We start from the raw sequence: 21,288 nt of genomic DNA on the forward strand, positions 1-21,288 counted from the left end.
TTTTTTTTTTTTTTTTTTGAGACGGAGTCTCACTCTGTCGCCCAGGCTCGAGTGCAGTGGCATAATCTCAGCTCACTGCAACCTCCGCCTCCTGGGTTCAAGCGATTCTCGTGCCTCAGCTCCCAAGTAGCTGGGATTACAGGCACCCGCCACCATGCCCCACTAATTTTTGTATTTTTAGTAGAGATAGGGTTTCCCCATGTTGGCCAGGCTGGTTTCGAGCTCCAGACCTCAGGTGATTCCCCCGCCGCAGTCTCCCAAAGTGCTGGGATTACAGGCGTGAGCCACTGCGCTGGCCATAGAGCTTTTTAAAAAGCAACAGCCAAATACATATTTATATTTATTTTCTCTACATAGTAACTCCAAGGGAAACAAATATGTAAGACAGGCAAAGTAATAATATTTTGTTTGGATATAAAATAAATAGTCATAATAATTATTATATATTCACAAATCAATAAATATTGATTTGACCCAAAAAATGGCTTTATTAGAAGGAAAGAGGTCTATAAAACTGCTAATTTCTGGGCAGGCGCAGTGGCTCATACCTGTAATCCCAGCACTTTGGGAGGCTGAAGCAGGCGGATCACTTGAGGTCAGGAGTTCGAGATCAGCCTGGCCAACACAGAGGAACCCCATCTCTACTAAAAATATAAAAAGTAGTCGGGTTTGGTGGTGTGCGCCTGTAATGCCAGCTACAGGGGAGGATGAGGCACAAGAATCACTTGTACCCAGGAGGCGGAGGTTGCAGTAAGCCAAGATGACACACCTGCACTCCTGCCTGGGCAACACAACAAGACCTTGTCTCAAAAAATAAAAATAAAATAAAATAAAATTGCTAATTTCTCATCTTCAACAGTAGGAAGCCAAAGAATAGTGCCAAAATTTGGACAAATCATGAAACAGCAGAATAAGCATATTACTTAGCATGGCAGTGAGCAGCAGAAGAAATAAAACAGTCTTTCCTGGAGTGAAAAGATTTTTAACTGTTTGAAGAATGAAATGATCTAAAATGTAATAGTAAAGCTGATTACATGGATTGAGAAAAGTGCTACAAGAACACTAGACACTACAGCATATACCAGACCTTCATCCACTAGAGGGTGTAAGGACAACACCACAGAAGGACCTAAACTATTGATGGGTGACCTGAGGTCAGATGTTGGACAGAAGCAACAGTTTGAAAAAGCTTTGCACAAAGGCTGAAAGTGGGGTTCTAGACAACCTAACAGGGGGGAAAAAAAGCAATTTCACACTTCCTGTAATTTAAGAGCAAAGCAAAAGCATGTTTAGTTAAAAAAAAAAAAAAAAAGAGGATCAGAAAGAAAATTATTATAGATTGCGAGATACAGAAGGGGTAACGTTTTACTTCTGAACCATTTTAATTCAGTCTCCAGCTGGGGGGCCTTAGAGCTTGGGTGGAGAGATGGAAAGTAGGGGAGTGACTGCTAAAAGGTATGGGGTTTCTTGTGTCCCGGCATGGAAGCTTACGGCTGTAATCCCAGCACTTTGGGAGGTTGAGGCGGGTGGAACGCATGAACTCAGGAGTTCAAGACCAACCTGGGCAACATGGTGAAACCCCATCTCTACCAAAAATACAAAAACTAGCTGGGCATGGAGGTGCACACCTGCGGTCCCAGCTACTCAGGAGGCTGAGGTAGGAGGACCACTTGAGCCTGGGAGGTGGAGGTTGCAATGAGCAGAGATCATGCCACTGCACTCCAGCCTAGGTGACAAAGTGAGACTCCATCTCAAAAAAATAAAGGCATGAGGTTTCTTTAAGGTTGCATTTTTAAGGAATGTAAGTATTAGAACAATGTTTTTCAAACAGGTTGCAATCCATTAGTGGGTCCAGGAAAAATCCAGCAGAAATCAATTTTGGTCAATCGTTAGTCACAATCGACAATTTTTTGAAGGGGACAGAAAATATCACAGTACTTAGAACATGGTTAAGATAGGCAGCATTTGGTAAGACTAATTCTAAGTTATAGTCAACATATATGTATGTGTGTATACTGGGTCATGACATAAAAGCAACTGCCTCCTTGGGGTCAGTCTTTTTTTAAGCTCAAAAGCACTAAGCTAGAACCTGAACACACTTACCATGTCCTCCATTCCACCAACTATCCCCGAGGGAAGAAAAGTAGTCATCATTTCTTCAATCAAGCCAAATGAGCACTACAGAAGATATATTTGCTGTTGTCCACAGCTCCCAATAAAAAAAAAGCCTTGAAAGTTCATTGCAAAAATTTGACTAAAATAAAGTTCATTTTCTACCCATGAAAAAACTGGTTAGAAAAAAGAAAAAAAAAATCTTGAGGAAAGAAAATACTTGTTAAGAAAAGAAACCCTTAGGTCATTTTAAATTTACCCTCTTATTAAAAGTAAGGCTGCCACTCTGAATTTAAATCTATAATTGTCTATGTTATATTTGTCAACTTAAGCATCTCCTTTGATGTTCCCACTTGTTTCTGCTAATCAATGGGACATTGTGTCTTTCAACAGAATTTTAGAAAATTGAAGAAAAAAATATAGTTTTGAGAAGTCATTGACAAGCATTTTAAACATCAAAGAATGGGCCCCGCGTGGTGGTTCACATCTGTAATTCCAGCACTTTGGGAGGCTGAGGTGAGCAGATCACCTGAGGTCAGAAGTTTGAGATCAGCCTGGCCAACATGGCAAAACACTGTCTCTACTAAAAATACAAAAATTAGCCAGGCTTAGTGTCGCATGTCTGTAATCCCAGCTACTCAGGAGGCTGAGGCAGAAGAATCACTTGAACCCGGGAGGCAAATGTTGCAGTGAGCCAAGATTGCGCCACTTCATTCCAGCCTGGGCAACAGAGTCTCAAAAAAATTGACAACATGACATTTTTCTTTGTATTTAAAATATGAAAAGATAAAATTTAGATCATAAGTTATTTTAACAAACAAGATAGAAAACTTGACAGAAATAAGTTACTCAAGAACTTTCAAGTCATATGAAGACTTCATGCTCCCACATTCTCCAAAGATTCCAGAATATCTTATCTTGTCACACCAGCAAAAGAACACTTATATTCAGAGAGACACTGACAGACAAATACAAAAGGGAAATACAAGACATGGAGGCTGAAAATCGGGGTTCAAGTCCAATTCTTTACTTACTACCTATATAACTAAGACTGGGAGATTCATTTGACAGTCTCTGTGCTTTGGTATTCTTTTATCTATAAAATTGGGATAATAAAGCCCAAGCCACCTAGCTGAACTATTGTGAAGATCAAAAGTGGATATACACAGGAGGGTTTTGTAAACTGTAAAGCAGTTAGCAGATATTAGTTGGGTTTTTTGTGTACCACAAATATATACATTTGTATTCATCAATTAATAAACAAAATAGTACACTACAGCTTAAATAATTTTTAATGATGAAATAATGAAAGCTTTCAACACTTAGTTTTGCAAGTATCCCACTGCTGAACATCCCTTACTTGGTTAGGCCACCCCAATGAAGCAAAACAAATTATCTCTAGTTTGTGTGTATCTGTTCTAATCCTCTTCCCTACCCATCCCCCAAACCGAGTTGACTCTAAAACAATAGAACAAAATTTAGTCAAGTAACCACTAAGGAGATACAAAATTGATGAAACAAAAGTAAGTCTTCCCTGTGGTTGATTAAAGTATAAGCCTCTTTTAATCAATTAACTTGTTAAATTAACTAATGTTCTCCAGTTCCCAAGTCTAATAAAGGGACGCTTTTAACAGTCTTAAACCACCTAAAACTAGTAAACAACTCTCTCCTATTTGCCCCCAAGCCCTTTCTTCTCCCAGTAGCTGAGTTGTATGCTTACCAAAAATCACTTGTGTTTATTCACCTGCCAGTTTATAGAAGTCGTAAGTTCTTATAATTATATAATTAAATGTTATATATATATATATATATATATATATACACACATCAATGAAATAAATTAGAAAATTTCCTTGAAAATAACTAATGTGAATGCTTTGTGAAAAATAAGTCAAGACACTGAAAACTTAGGCTCAAATTAGATGTGGGCAGGATAACTGTAAAAGACCGGGCAAGAAGGGAAAACCATACAAATCTAGATAGACAGTTTCACCCAAATTGCTCTGAATGTCATCAAGACCGTGTTCCTCTTTAAAAAAAAAAACAAATTAGAACTCACAGATGATGCTCTGGGAGCACAGTTTATGCAAAAAATTCAAGTAGTATTTCAATCACATCTATATATAAGGATCTTGACCTCATATCAGGAAACTAAAGAGTAAGCATATATTTGTTTAAATTAAAAATGCTCTATATTAAAATAAAAGTTTAAAATATTTCCCCACTTCAACCAATTGTTTAGATTAACCCACGGCCTACTAGTTCTGATCACTTTGGTTAAGAAAACACTGACTGTATTTCTTCAATTAGAGAAGGATGGCCATACATCCCAGTTTACCTGGGACTGTTTGAAACTAATTATTGGCATCACTTTTTATTCTCAAAAGTGCCCCAACTTGAATGCTAAAGTTTATATGGTCACCTTATTTATAACAGACATAAAGTTGTTGCACCAAAAGCGAGCGAGGGGCCAGCCTTAGGAGCCTTAGGACCCCCATCACTTTCTAGGAAACCCCTAAGAGCCATCCCATATAAATAATCTTCGCAAAAACAGTAAGGCTGCTGTGCAGAACAAGGCCCTCTTCTAATCAGATTGCTGCTCTTAAGCTCTTCTTATATAAAAACCCTAGAGCTGATGCACATAAGTATTCTCCCACTTTAAAAATACTGCAAATCCATAAAACATTCTAGCCTTAATCAAGGCCTGGGAACACGCCTAAGCACATGCACAAATCACAAACAGTCAACTAGGAATCTAAACCACTACATTGTATCATCAATCTAAAATCCTGCCTGGGTTTATTTATTCATTTATTTTTGAGACAGGGTCTTGTTCTGTCACCCAGGCTGGAGCGCAGTGGCACAATCATAGCTCACCACAGCCTCAATCTCCCAGGTTCCAGCAATCCTCCCACCTCAGCCTCCCGAGTAGCTGGGACTACAGGCACACACCACTACACCCGGCTGATTTTTTTTATTTTTAGTAGAGACAAGGTCTTGCTATGTTGCCCAGGCTGGTCTCCAACTCCTGAGCTCAAACAATCCTCCTGCCTTGGCCTCCCAAAGTGCTGGGATTATAGATGTAAGCCACTGCACTTGGTCCTGCATGGCCTTAGATAAAATTTCTCACTTTTCTGAACTAGTTTTCACTTATGTAAAACTGGAACAATGTTTGTCTCCTCCACTTCCATAGAGAAACCACATTAGAAAGTATAGTGAAATGCTCAGAGTGCTTTATAAAAGCAATGGATTGTCATCCCATAAAGCTTCTTAATAGATCAAGAAAGAAGGCTGAGGTGACCTTGCATAAACATGCAAGAGGTGGCGGGTGGTTTTCCCTGCTCCTTTCCTTCAGGTGTTTAACTCCAATGTGCTATTGGGACTGTATATAACATGACAAAAGAATCACTAAAAAAGTGAAATGCTGGTGGTACACTTGGTGCTAACAAACTTAGTAGTAATAATCTTTAATCAGGAGTCACAGACTTCTACATCTGTGGTTGAGCTTGAAGAAGTCTACGAAGCCCCCACATGGTAAATAAAATAATGTAAATGAGTGAATGGGCACATTCACACGTGACCACATTTTCCTATGGTCAATCAATAATTCTCCAGTACAGAGAAAAGGACCCTCAGACAGAAGGGGAAATTTCAGCTCTTATTTAGCTACTTACTTGAATTGTTGCCTTGGATAAGTCACTTTACCTCTGTGTGCTTCAATTTCCTCATCTTTCCAGAGGGAATATTTGCCTCATCTACTTCAAAAGGGGTGTTTGGGAGAATAAGATGAGAAAATACAATGAAAGTGGTCCAAAACAATCAAAAGAGTTATCTCTTTTTAAATCACCATTCAGCCACTGATAAGAATCTTGTCTGCAGATGGTTCTCATCTATTTAGGAAGGAACAGTGAAAGAATAAGGAAAGCAAACAGGCCGGGTGTGGTGGCACACACCTGTGGTCCCAGCTACTCAGGAGGCTGAGGTGGGAGAATCACTTGCACCCCAGGGGTCAAGGCTGCAGTGAGCCATGTTCATGCCACTGCACTCCAGTATGGGTGACAGAGCAAGACCCTGTCTCAAAAACCAAACCAAACCAACAACAACAAAAAAAAAAAAAAAAAAAAGGGAAAGCAAACAAAAGCACAATTAAAATTCACCTTCACCCCATTCCCCAGTTCCTCGATTTGCTGAGCCAAAACCATGCTGAGGAGACGTAAAGATCACAAGTTCCATTTCCGCCAGCTCAGACTGTTCAGCGACCAGTGTTTCACGCTGATAAATGCCTCCCAAATCTCAAAACGCAAAGTGAGAGTTCACAAGGTTAGGCGCATTAATTAGCAGTACTCATTTGGATTCTGTATTCATCAAATACAACAAGCAGCTATTCAATATTTGCCTATTTGCACACTCTAAGATCTCTAATTCAAAGATCCAACCAGAGTACAAATTAAAGCCCAAGAAAATAAACTAAAATAAACCTGTCACCATCAGAATGTGCCTCAAAGTAAATCAGCAGCTTTAAACCATGGCAAAGGGTCTGTAACAGGCCTGCAGCAGAGACAGCATGAGTAATGAATGTGCAGGTTACAGAAGTGGGCCCCTACTGCAAAAGAAAGAAAAAGTAGGTACAATCAAAGAGACTACTTTTTTAGGCTTTAATAAATTCCTATTAACTCCTTTTGCTTAGCTCCTTATTGATCTATAATCCCCACAAGAAGAATACAGTACCCTTTCAGTCTTCTAAACTCAGTAAGTCTATTTCCATACTTTACATCAATTAGCTTTACCTTCCTAAATCCACAATAAGCAACATTTTATAAATAATAAAGTAACTGCATTAGTTTGCAAGACTAGATTAAGAGACTAACCACGACCCCTTTATTACATGTCCTAAGTGAAAAGTACAGGATGAAACAGAAACTGTCACTGCTTTTAAAGCAGCCCATAGGACTGTAGTTCTCAACCGCACTACACAGCAGAATCACCTTTGGGATTTTTAAACATTTGAATGGGTAAGCCCAATCTTACACTTACCCAATCAGAAACTCCGTGGGGTGGATCTCCAGGTATGAGAATGTTTTTCTGATATATGACTAAGATATAAAAGTACTATCAAAGGCATAAGTTTCCCAGCTTAGAGAAGCTCTAGGACAGACACAAACCAGAATGAAAAACAAATAAATCTTTACATTCTCTTTAGATTTAGGGTAAATGGCCCTATCTTTTACCAAAAGCTTCCATCTTCAATATCAACAGTGATGAACTCAGTAGGGGATGAACACAGAGCTAACAACACTTCTTCTCCCGATGCCTTATCTGGGGCCACTCTGATATCAACTCAGCACCAAAAGTGCAAGAATTGGACAAATACTCTCAAATCTGAAAGGCCTGCAAATAGGTGACTATTGATTATCAACCATCCTAGTTTTTGTTTTTTTGTAGTTGTTGTTTTTGTTTGTTTTATGTTTTGTTTTTGAGACAAAGTCTCGCTCTATCACTCAGGCTGGAATGCAATGGTGTAGTCTCAGCTCACTGCAACCTCTACCTCCCCAGTTCAAGCAATTCTCCTGCCTCAGCCTCCCGAGTAGCCAGGACTACAACTGCATACCATCACACCCAGCTAATTTTTGTATTTTTAGTAGAGCCGGGGTTTCACTATGTTGGCCAGGCTGGTCTCAAACTCCTGACCTCATGATCCACCCACCTTGGCCTCCCAAAGTACTGGGATTACAGGCATGAGCCACCGCACCCAGCCGACCATCCTAGTTTTTAAGATCCACTTCAGGAGCTCTGATGAGATTCAATGAACTTCTGGAAAGGACACTATGAACTCTTTCGTTTAGCACTGTAACTCATATCTCCTGGACAAGTATAACAATGGTAGCTTTTTTTGACAACCCTGTAAGGAATAATGGCATTCCAAGATATTTCTAGGAGCTACCCTTTCAAATCTCCTGAAGAACGTCAATATCCCCAAACATCAAAGATACAAATTTCTTTCAGAGGCGAGGTGATTTAAGCCACACCATTTCTCTAAGAGGAAGCCTTACCTGTTCTTCTATCCTAACTCTGTTTCAACGTCATGGGCTCAAGTATTCAAACAACAAAAAGATAGGGAAGGCATTTTACACACTTGCCTAAACCATACTGAGGGTGTCTCGTAGGAAGCAATTCTGCTCTGACCCATAATAGGGCCTGGGCTTTTCCAGTCATCCTCCCATCTAACAAAGAAAGGTGGCAGAAACTTTGCTTTCTCAGGCAAGCTTTCCCTGATTAAAACCATAAGGCTGAATTCCCCCAGGGAGGAGAATGGAATTTTCTTGCTACAGATCATTACAAGGACTCAAAAACTCTGTGCAGGCAGGGGCTAACTGGCAGGTAATAAAGAGACAAGTCCAGCATTCAGAATTATAAGGCATCAAGAAAACCAGGTCAAAAAATTATTATGTAGCCTGGAGAAGAAAATACAAAACCAATCATGACTGTGCTTGAGTGATTATTTTCTCTTCTAATATCCACAATTTTAATAACATAATACTTATAGAATTTAAAAATATGCTTAATTTACATCTGTAAAAGTAAATTCACTGCTGAAACAAGCCACATTTCCTTTCAAAGTAAGTAATTTCAGGAAATGCTCTCTATCATAGCAACCCTTTGATGAAACACACCACACACATACATCATCTGAGTTACAAACAGCAGATACCAACCTGGCTGTCCCGCGCTGGGAATCCATGATAACCTGGAGTCAGAGGCTCGTTCTATGAGAAAGACAAGAAAAATATCAAACCATGAGATGAAAGAAAATGTTAGGCATAATCAAAATCATCCAAACTGATCAAATATAAATTCCTGCCCTGGTTCCTAAAATGTTCCATTAACTGTATTCCACCCTACCTAAGTGTATATATCTCCTCGTTAAGCCTCTACACTGGCAAAAACAAAAAACAGTATTTGCTTAGGAGCACTATTCATAAAAACTATTTCTTCCTTATGCAGCTAAATCTGTTTCCTTTCCAGTATATCTTAGGCAGGGTGCTACTGCGACTGGGGTCAGAGTTAATTCCTAACTTCATCATACACTGTGGGACTTCAGCATCCCCAGCCCCAACTCACACTAAGCCGTTAGCACCCCTAAACACTAGGATAACCAAAAACTTGTTGGTTTATTTCCAAATGTCCCCTGGATGGAAAGGGGACAAGTACCAACCCTGCTGAGAACTGCCTCTTAACCCAGAAAAGTTTTAGGTCTTCGTCTCTATCAGCCTGTTTCCCCTCAGTTTTTACTTTTTTATTTATTTATTTTTTGTTTTATCCCCTCAGTTCTTTGAAATCTGGATGAAATCTGACCTCTGTTCAAGACTTCCTCTACTACTCTATATCATCCTATGGACTCAAGTGACTCCTCCTAATATTTAATATTTACTTAGCTTACTTGTGCAGCTTACTTTTTATGTTACTTATGATTCTAATTAACCTTATTTTTTAAAGGTATATCATGTTGAGTATCTGTCTCATTTTCACTTTAAACCACTAAGTCAAGATCCTTGAGGGCAAGGATGATAGCTAATAAAAGCCATGCAAACCCTAATTTAGTATAAGGTCATATAACATGAACACTCATTTCCAGCTTACTTGACCCATTCAATCATTCAGTTAATATATACTAATATTAATATTTTCCAAGCACTGTTAGTCGACTGATGGAGTAAAAAAAGATGAATTAAAAATAAGGCCCTTGCTTTCAAGGGAACTTTTAAATGAGGGAAGATGCACGTGCACACGAAGGAGTAAATGAGAACATACATTGCTTTTGTAATTTTCAAAGTGCTCAACATTGCTACTTAGATATTCATCCTCTTCTTCCATTCACTGTACTTTCATTCCTACTAGCAGAACAGCGTAAAAGAAATTTTCATTGATAGGACTTTTGAATATAACAATAGAGTAAACTTTCCACTAATTGGTAGGTTGACTATATTCAGATATTTGATAGTCAAAAGCATGGAAGTCTGAAGACAACTTAAGCTTACTGCAGAGACCCTGTGTCTTGTTCATCATGGTTTCCCTGAGATCTAGCACAGTATCTAACACATGTAGACACCCAAAAGAATGTGTAATAAATAAATGGAGCTAAATAACCAGAAAATGTGTAGGAATTCAGACAGTTCTGCAAAAGAGATGTGCAAATGGCCAGTAAGTACATGAAGAGATGCTCAACATCATAAGTCATTATGCAAATCAAAACCACATTGAGATAAAACTCACACTCATCAGAATGGTTATAAACAAAATGCCAGACAACAATAAGTATTGTCAAAGACATGGAGAAATCAGAATTCTTCTACACTGCGGGTGGGAATGTAAAATGGTATAGCTGCTCTGGAAACAGTTGGATAGTCCTTCTATTAAACATAGAGTTATATGACCCAGCAATTCCACACCTGGGTATGTAACTAAGAAAACTGAAAACATATGTCCACACAAAATAATATACATGAATGTTCATAGCAGCATTATTTCATAATAACCAAACAGCAGAAAAAAACCAAAATGTCCGTCGATTGATGAATGGATAAATGAAGTATGGTACATCCATAGTGGAATATTATTCAGTAATTTTAAAAATAAAGTACAGATACAACACAGATGAATACTGAAAACACCATGCTTGAAAACAGACACAAAAGGCCACAAATTATATAATTTGATTTGTATGAAATATCAAGAATAGGCAGATTATTCATAGAGGCAGAATATAAATTAGTGGTTCCAGGGACTAGCGGGAAGAAATGAGCAGTGACTGCTAACGGCTACCAGGTTTATCTGGAGGGAGATGACAATGTTCTGGAGTTAGATTTTAGTGATGGATGCACACATCCATTATTATATTAAAAACCACTGAAACACTAAAAGCACTTCATAAATGCGAGATTTATGGTCTGTGAATTATATCTCATTAAATCTGTTATTTAAAAATAATAATAGTTATAGGCAATGTTGGCTATTTTTCATACTGATTTTTATAGGGGAGACATGCAGTTTAGATTTTAACAAAAGAACAAGGCTCTTTCCGAAATGCACAAGTGCCTTTTGTTTGTTCTGGATTCTATAAATTTACTTCCACACACCATTCTCTACAAATTTTAACAATGATGATGATAACCCCCCAGTTATTAAGCACCTAATCAGTACAGTTCCAGGATGGTGGAAAAGAGGAAGAGATAGAGGCAAAAAGAATGAGATAATATAGCAGTATACAAAAATATATTTCCTATCACTGGGGAAACTAACTGAAAGAAGGTAAGTAACTGGCCCAATAACACATAGATATTGAATGGGAAATTCAAACTGCCAACCTGTGTCTGCTGGACTACAAACCCCTGTTCTTTCCATTTTTCCAGGTTCTCATCCCTACTAATGATTCCATATTATTCCCTTACAATAAACATTTCATGATTGTCTGAGAAGGGGATTATCTGATTAAGAAAGTAATCAAAAACCCCAAAAGCATATTAACAGAAATTCATCACTCCCAGAGGACATCCCACATATGAACCATATTCCATAAAATCCTGGAGTTCAACAATGAAAAAAATATAAGGAAAAGATCACATTCGTATAAGCCAGTATTGTCAAAAACTTCAATAGAAAAGTTGGTCATAACAGGTTGCACAGAGATGTGTCAGAGGAAATGGATTTACTCCTCCACCTGCCTTAGCACTCTTCTTTATTTCCTACCTCTCAGATAAGGCTATTTGGAACTCTCAAGCCCTCCCTGTATATATCTGTCTCTTACAAATGCATTAATTTTGCGTGATTTTGAATTTTACAGGCATGGATCCTATTGCAGGTATTCTTCAGTAATTTGGCATTTTTGCTCAATACTATGTAAGATTCACCTCCACTAGGGCACATAACTGTATTTTACTATGATTGCCATTTAGTATTCTCTTATAAACTATAAACATGTCAAATAAATTACTTATCTGTCCTATTTTCCTGTTAATGGATAATTGAATTGTTTCCACTTAATGGTTTTTGTGCTCACACCATGCTGCCTACGAACATTCTTTTAGATTTGAGATACCATGTTTTACATATGAGATTAGCAAAAATGAAAACACCATGAATAGGCAAAAAGATGAGTCAATAGATACTCTCACACCTAATAGTAGGAATATAAGTATATTGGGATGCTGTTATGGAAAGTAATTTGGCAGTACTATCAAAATATTGAATGCATATACCTTCCTGTAACTTCACATCTCTATCTAGACAAAGAAGCATGTGCGAAGATTTTCAAAACAGTGTTGTTTGCCTTAGTGAAAAACTAGGAAAAAAAACCTCAGTTTCCATTAATAATAAGGTAATAGTGTTATCAATTATTGCAAAATTTCAACATCCCACCTGCAAGGTTTTTAAAATAAGGTAAAATCTTTATAAATGACCTCAGGTCATATTAAATGACAGCAGAACAGAACACTCAAGCAGAAATGGCTAGCTACACAGAAGGCTCAGGCAGGAGGATCACTCAAGCCCTGGAGTTTGAGATAGCCTGGGCAGCACAGCGACATCCCATCTCTTAAAAAAAAAAAAAAAGGTAACTAAATGCATCGAAAATATAAAGAAGGATATATAACAAACTTCTAATAGTGGTTACCTCTAGGGAGAAGAATAAGATTTGTGGAAGGTTGAAAGGACATGTTTTACCCAAATTTTACATTGTGTAAAATTCACATATGACTTAGAATAAAGCTGTTGTCAGTGTTTCTTACTGCTTTATAACTTATAAAACCAACTATATATCTCACTTAGTCCTCACAATGCATAAAACAAGTTTTATAAATGTCATTTTACAGATGACAAAACTGAATTTCAGACACTTTAAGTGATTTGCTCATAATCAAATAACTAATGACAGTGGCTGAGATGCCTCCAGACTTAGGTCTTGATTCTATACCCAATACTTCTACTACTTCATGACAACTATTAGGCTGGTGCAAAATTAAAGTAATGGTAAAAACCGCAACTATTTTGTGCCAGTCGAATAGTGGGAAAGATTTGCCTCGTCTGGTCAGAGATGATTATGATTATCTAATGATATGCAAGTCTGAGTTTTTAATCAGCATAAAAACAATAACTGGCATTTAAAGCAGAGATGAAATTACAAGAAAAGCTACTGGAACAGACAAGATGGAAATCAGATGTGTTAGAAGTCCAAAAAGAAAAGGTTTTAGTAGCGATATGTCTATAAGCAAGCATTATTGGCCTATTAAGAATGAAAGAAACGGACTCTGTCTTGGCACAGAGACTGCTCAAAAATAAAAAGAAATACATAAGAAATAAAATACCAACCGTAAGAATCTTTATTAACTAAGAGGTCAGCAATTAAAACCGTTTAGAAGCTTCTGGTTAGTGGACATGTGACAATGCAACAGAAAAATCCTTAAGTAACTATCAAAAAAACCCCAACTGCTGGCCAGGCGCGGTGGCTCACGCCTGTAATCCCAGCACTTTGCGAGGCTGAGGTGGGTGGATCACGAGATCAGGAGATTGAGACCATCGTGGCTAACACAGTGAAATCCCATCTCTACTAAAAATACAAAATACAAAAAATTAGCTGGGCATGGTGGTGGACACCTGTAGTCCCAGCTACTCGGGAGGCTGAGGCAGGAGAATGGCATGAACCCGGGAGGCAGAGCTTGCAGTGAGCCGAGATCGCGCCACTGCACTCCAGCCTGGGCGACAGAGCGAGACTCCGTCTCAAAAAAAACCCAACTGCCAATGGACTGTGAATGTACAGTGGATACAGACAGAAGTGATACACAGCAAGAAAAATAGCATCTGACTTTTATATTCTTCTTTGGCTGCTTAGATGCTCCTATATGTACCTACATCTGTAAAATCTCTTTAAGCAGAAGAATCCTTCACTTATTCAGTAAGAGTGGATTGAACAACTGCTTTGAGAAACATAGTGCTGGTATTCTTGCCCTTGAGGAGCTGAGAGTCATAATAATTACAAGACAGTGCGACTGATACCATAACTAAAATCTATTAAAAATAACTACAGGACTTCAGAAGATCTTTTTAAAAGTGTGTGGGGGGATGGAGGTGAGTGATAACTTCAAACCTATTAGGACAAGACCTCCAGTACTATGTTGAATTGATACATGCTGAAAAGACAGTGATTTTTAAAGCCGTTTTTCTAAATGCTTTTCTGGAAATTATCAATATCATTTCTGAATGATTAGTCAATATATTTTCCCAGAAAGAATACTGGCAAAATTACAAGAAAATACTGGTGAAATTACCCAGAATATAGCACATAGAGGAGAAAAAAGGTACTATTTTTTGTAGCATTTTAAAAATACAGTTAAGAGAGGTACAAAGAAAACTTAACAATACTGAAGCTCCAAAGCTCTGCTTTCCATACAGTTATACTTGTGATATAATATACTAGCCATAAATCCTAAGCATTGACCAATAAAACAATAACCAAAGTGAAGTTGCCCGAGAAGCTTAAGAAAGACATCATGCTGCCAATCAAAGTATTTCTTCCTGGCTTCTATCATTGCTGAGAGTTGGCTATGAGCAGAGTGCAGAAAACTGGAAATACACAACAAAGTTAAACCAAGCAATGAAAAAAACAAATCTGGCCAGCCGCGGCGGCTCACGGCTGTAATCCCGGCACTTTGGGAGGGTGAGGTGGGAGGATCATTTGAGGTCAGGGATTCGAGACTAGCCTGGCCAACACAGTGAAACCCCATCTATACCAAAAAATACAAAAATTAGCCAGTCTCAAGAAAAACAACAACGACAACAAAAAAACAAATCCACAAAACCATCCCACTGCCTTTCTTCTGTGTCTAACAAAATGAAAGGGGAAGAATAATGAAAATGGAACAAAAAGAATTCTTACCACTCTGCAGTTTGGAGAGAAGAAAGCGAGATAAAGCAAAGGAAGATACAAAATGAAGCTGTCTTCTACAAATAACTTGGGTAATGGGTACGAGCTCAGATTTTTCATTGACTTACTCCCCAGTCGAAAATGAATTTCACATCACCTTGCATGTATCTAATAACAGAAGGAAACAGACCACACTGACTAAAAAAAAGCAAATCAAGTTGCTCAGGATGTTTCACTATGTTATTCGCAGCAAGTTAATTGTTTTTCAAGTATTGAGCCTATTTTTGAATTGGGACATAAAAGGAATGCCACAGGAACAGAAGATGTAAAATCCCATATGCTATTACATGCAAAAACTAATCCCAGCAACAAATCTCTCTGGCTTGAGAAAAAAATATATACCTTTTTTTTGAGGGTCTCACACTGTCGCCCAGGCTGGACTGGAGTGCAGTGGCATGAACATGGCTCATTGCAGCCTCGACCTCGCAGACCCAAGCGATCCTCCTATCCCAGCCTCCTGAGTAGCTGGGACTACAGGCATGTGCCACTACACCCGGCTAATTTTGTTTTATCTTTTGTAGGGACAAGGTCTCACTCTGTTGCACAGACTGGTCTCAAACTCCTGGCCTCAAGTCCTGCCTCGGCCTCCCAAAGTGCTGGGATTACGGGAATAAGCCACTGTGCCTGGCCTCAAGAAGAGAAATTGCTAAGTGACCACAGGGCGTCATTCTGCTTCCAAACCATAAGAGTTCAAAATACCTAGAGATAAGATGAAGACTTATAAGTGATACGAATCTGATAGTATCTAACAACATGGTCCCAACATGAGGTCCAACTGTTAACTAGTAAACTAAGCTTTCGCTGCAAAAAAACTCATTCTACCTCCCTATCAAGACAATCAATGACAGTTATTTGTTACATTCACTACTCCCTCCACATTTACCGCTCCCCCCTTTTTTTTAAATTAAAAATCAGCTGGTATAAGCAGTATGTTTCATGGTAAAATCTGATACAGGATTTACTGGGTTCTTGAAGATTATCTTTGAAACACACCAAAATTTCTTCAATAGTGGTCGCAGGTGTCTAAGAAATAACCAATCAAACCCCTTTTCTTTACAGGTGAGGAAGCTGAGACTTAGAGAAGTGCCTTGCCCACAGTCACTCAAACTAGGTAGGTATGAAAGAGAACCCAGAATTTACAACTCCTGACTCTCAAATCATATAAACTATTCACTTCAGACTCTACTAGTTATATTACAGATATATGTAACTCCTTTCATCATGCAATAGAAAGGTTGGACGGAACCTTGGGAGTTGAAGATACAGATTCAAATTCTGGCTGGGTCACTTTCTAACTATGTGACTAGTCAAAATCCTTAATATCTCTGACTCTAAATTTTCTCAACTGTGTAATAGATAATATCTACCACATAAAGTTGTGACATCCAATGAGATAATCAGGTGACGCTTATCTGGCACAATATTTAACATATAGGAGAAGCTCAAAAAGAATTCCTTCCCAACCCCCACGTCTATTTATTGCAAAATTATATAGTCTATGGGAATAAATCCTACAAAGTAGCACATTTCCAAATAACCAACCTTTAATTTCCTTAGCTTCCTCTACATCAGCTATTTAGGAATATGTGCTAAATGGCCATTCTGCCTCACTGTAAGGTGTTCAAAACCTAGTGATATTATAAACTGTTTCTAGTATTCAAGAACAGAATGAATGAGAATACCTCTAAAGTGACCAAAGAAACTCTGCCTTTTGTGACATACACAGTCAAGGCCACATGACAATACTTTGGTCAACAACTGATTGCATAAACAATGGTAGTCCCATGAGATTATAACGAAGCTGGTCAAGCACAGTGGCTCACATCTGTAATCCCAGCACTCTGGGAGGCCGAGGAGGGAGGATCACCTGAGGTCAGGAGTTCGAGACCAGCCTGGCCAACATGGCGAAACCCCATCTCTACTAAAAATACAAAATTAGCCGGGTGTGGTGGTGAGCACCTGTAATCCCAACTACTTGGGAGGCTGAGGGCACAAGAATCGCTTGAACCCAGGAAGCAGAGGCTGCAGTGAGCTGAGATCGTGCCACTGCACTCCAGCCTGGGCGACAGAGCAAAACTCTTCCCTGCCACAAAAAAAAAAGATTATAATGAAGCTGAAAAACTCCTATCACAGTGACATCATAACTGTCATGGCACAAAACATTACTTATGTGTTTGTGTGATGCTGGTGTAAACAAGCCTACTGTGCTGCCAGTCATATAAAAGTCTAGCGCATACAACAATGTACAGTTCACAGTGCTTGATGATAATAAATGGTTATTTTACTGGTTCATGTATTTACTATATCATACTTTTTTTCATTAGAGTGTGCTCCTTCTACTTATGTAAAAAAAAAAGTTACCTCAGGGAGGTCCTTCCTGAGGTCTTCCAGCACACGGCATTGTTATCATAGAAAATGACAGCTCCATGTGTGTTACTGGCCATTACCACCTTCCAGTGGGAAGGATGTGGAGGTGGAAAGCATACTGATGATTTTGTCCCCGTGGAGGCCTAAGCTAATGTGTGTGTTTGTGTCTTAGCTTTCAACAAAAAAAAGTTTAAAAAGTAAAAAAAAAAAAAAAAAAAAAAAAAAAAATTAAAAATCTTAAAAAAACCTTATAGAATAAGAATACAAATAAAATATTTTTGTACAGCTATACAATGTGTTTATATTTTAAGCTAAGTGTTATTACAAAAGAATCAAAAAGTTAAAAAAATTTTAAAGTTTATAAAGTAAAAAAGTTACAGTAAGCTAAGGCAAATTTGTTGTTAAAGAAAAATAATTTTGTAAAAATTTAGCGTAGCCTAAGTGTACAGTGTTGATAAAGTCAACAGTAGTGTACAGTAATGCCCGAAGCCTTCACATCCACTCACACTCACTCACTGACTCATCCACAGCAACTTCCAATTCTCCAGGCTGCATTCACAAGTGCCCTATACCTGTGTATCATTTTTATCTTTTATACTGTATTTTTGCTGTACATGTTTAGATAAATTAGATACATTAGATACATGTTTCCATGTTTAGATACATTGTGTTACAACTGCCTAAAGTATTCAGTATAGTCACATGCTGTACAGATGTGCAGCCTCGGAACAAAAGGCCGTATCACACAGCCCAGGTATGACAACGTATGCTTCATACAGCCAGATAGTCCACTCTGCTGTCATCAATTCCTGTTTGGCTAACACCCTCAGTTCTTTCAATTTTCTTTACAAATCCACTTTGTTCTTGCATTTTAAAAAAATAAAATAAAATTCAATCATGACAAAATTATATTTTGAAGTACATAAATAATAAATAAAATTCTGGCCAGGCACAGTGACTCACTCCTGTAATCTCAGCACTTTGGGAAGCCAGGGTGGGAAGAGGTCGAGACCAGCCTGGGCCAACATAAGGAGACCCTGGGTCTATAAGAAATAATAAAAATTAGCCAGGTGTGGTGGTGCACACCTGTGGTCCCAGCTACCTGACAGGCTGAAATGGGAGGATGGCTTGAGTCCAGGAGGTGGAAGCTGCAGTGAGCTGAGATTGTACCACAGCATTCTAGCCTGGGCAACAGAGTGAGACTGTCTCAAAAAAAAATTTTTTTTAATTAAAATTTTAAAAATAAAGTTCCCCGTTAATCTATCTTTTCTAGTACTGAGGTTCAAGATCATACTATAAATATTCTTTGCAGTTTCCTTTCATCTTTTTTTAAAACTGTGGTTAAATATACATAAAGTTACCATTTTAGCCATTTTTCAGTATACACTTCTATAGCATTAAGTATATTTATATTGTTGTGCAACCACCTCCATCCATCTCCAGAACTTTCTGATCTTCCCCAACTGAAATGCTGCACCCAATAAACACTAACTCCCCATTCCTGTCTCCCTCCGTCCACTGCCAACCAGCATTCTACTTTGTCTCCATCAATGTGACTACTTTAAGTACCTCACGTGAATAGTCAAACAATATTTATTTGCGCCGTGACATAATCTCAGCTCACTGCACTTATCTCACTTACCATATCTTTGTGGTTCATCCATATTGTAGCACGTGTCAGAATTTCCTTCTAAGTCCAAATAATAATATTGTGTTAAAATTATATAAAACACAATTTTATGTGCATATCACTGTATTGTAGCCTACAATATGTGGTACGTAAAAATCACATTTTGTCCATCCATTCATCTGTCAATGGACACTTGGGTTGCCTCCACCTTTTAACTATTGTGAATAAAGCTGCTATGAATATGGGTGTACAGATATCTATTCAAGTCCCTGCTTTCAATGCTTTTGGGTAAATATTCAGAAGCAGAACTGCTGGATCACTGGTAATTCTTTGGTGTTTGCACAGTGACAATATTTAACTTTTTAAGGGACTGCCATACTGTTTTCCACAGCACTGAACCATTTTAAATTTCCACCGGCAAAGCACAAGAGTTTCAATCTCTCCGTATTCTTACTTACACTTGTTATTGTGTGTGTATTTTCATCCTAATGAGTGTGAAGTGTTATCTCATTGTTTTGATTTATATTTCCTTTACAACTTAGTGATGTTGAGCATCTTTTCATGTCCTTTTCATCTTTTCATGTGCTTATTGACCATTTGTATACCTTCTTTGGAGAAATGTGTATTCAAGTCCCCTGCCCATTTTATAATTGGGCCATTTGCTTTTTTGTTGTTGAGTTGTAAAAGTTCTTTATATATTTTGGATATTAATCCCTTATCAGATATATTTTTGCAAATACTTTCTTCCATTAGTTGGTTGCCTTTTCACTCTGTTAATAGCGTCCTTTGATGCATAAAAGTTTTTAATTTTGATAAAGTCTAATTTATCTGTTTTTTCTTTTGTTGCCTGTGATTTTGGTGTCATGTCTAAGAATCCACTGCCAATTCCAAGGTCACGAGGATTTACTCTAAGTTTTCTTCTAAGAGTTTTATAGTTTTAGCTCTTATGTTTAGGTCTTTGATCCATTTTGAGTTAATTTTGGTATTGATGTAAGGTCCAACTTCATTTTTTTTTTTTTTTTTTGCATGTGTCTTACTTATTTTTGAGGTTCCTTAGATCTCTCTCCATTTGCCATCTTCTTCCTGTTTTCTGAGGATTTAGAATTAAACATCCATTCCATCTATATACTGGTTATCAATTAATTGATTATCAGCTCCAAATTTACCTTTTTTGCCGGCTGTGTGAAAATGAACCTGGGCCCTTTAAATACTTTTCCTTTGCAAAGCATGCATGATGTCAAGCTTTACCCATAGAGGACACAGGAGATACACTGTAGGAGGAAAGCATTTCGCTTCCAGGTCCCATTGTGCTTGCCTAGCAGGTTCTTACAGGATAAGCAGTTTCCCTCCATCCTAGCTCCTACAATGGACAGCAGCCAGCAGCTAGTAGCTTCCCTCAGTAAACCTTTTCATGTTGTCATATGGCAGCAAAGTGCCTCTGGTGAGACAACTCCTTGTGAAGAGCTTTCCCAAGTATCCTAGAGGGTAGTTTTTGGCAACTTCAAAAGGACAGATTTCCAGCAAGTTCTGCTGGTATAAGTCCATAGGGACTTACTTCTCTGCCATTCTGAGAGTCAAAGTCATGCCTTCTCCACCAAAGCCCCTCAGATTTCAGTCTCTCGGCCAGGAAGTGTTTGGTGGTATTGAGGGAGACGGCTCTTTGGGTATGATATCTCGGTCCCGGGGTAGCTGCTTAGCTGCTATTATACTAATTCTATTTTGTCACACATCAATCATATTATTATATTTCTTATTATAGATACAGCAGATCTATATCTGCTGTTATTTAGAGTTTTCTTCCTAGGAGTCAATTTCTCATTATTTCAGTCTCCTCTTATGGTAAAGAATTCTTTTTTTTTTTTTTTTTGGAGATAGAGTCTCACTCTGTTGCCCAGGCTGGAGTGCAGTGGTACAATCACAGCTCACTGCAAGTTCCACCTCCCGGGTTCATGCCATTCTCCTGCCTCAGCCTCCCAGGTAGCTGGGATTACAGGCGCGTGCCACCACGCCCAGCTAAATTTTTTGTATTTTTAGTAGAGACGGGGTTTCACCGTGTTAGCCAGGATGGTCTCAATCTCCTGACCTCGTGTTCCGCCTGCCTTGGCCTCCCAAAGTGCTGGGATTACCGCACCCGGCCCTTTTTTTTTTTTTTTTTTTTTTTGAGACGGAGTTTTGCTCGTTGCCCAGGCTGGAGTGCAGTGGCGTG

The 21,288-nt window shown here is 38.4% G+C and overlaps 1 protein-coding gene across 34 annotated transcripts in view; it reads right to left on the minus strand.

Annotated features, from left to right (window-relative positions):
• RBFOX2 (RNA binding fox-1 homolog 2) overlaps positions 1–21,288 on the minus strand; it is a 290,089-nt gene that overhangs the window by 191,286 nt on the left and 77,515 nt on the right. For 32 of the 34 annotated variants that reach the window (NM_001394108.1, NM_001394111.1, NM_001394110.1 and 29 more), the window contains exon 2: positions 8,826–8,876. In NM_001394108.1, coding sequence (NP_001381037.1) covers positions 8,826–8,876 — 51 coding nt within the window. Of the gene's footprint in view, positions 1–8,825; positions 8,877–15,037; positions 15,262–21,288 lie in introns of those variants that run through there. The other 2 variants (XM_017028687.3, XM_024452188.2) reach the window with 2 other exon arrangements.

Source organism: Homo sapiens, chromosome 22 (assembly GCF_000001405.40).
Source record: "Homo sapiens chromosome 22, GRCh38.p14 Primary Assembly".
Lineage (NCBI taxonomy): Eukaryota > Metazoa > Chordata > Mammalia > Primates > Hominidae > Homo > Homo sapiens.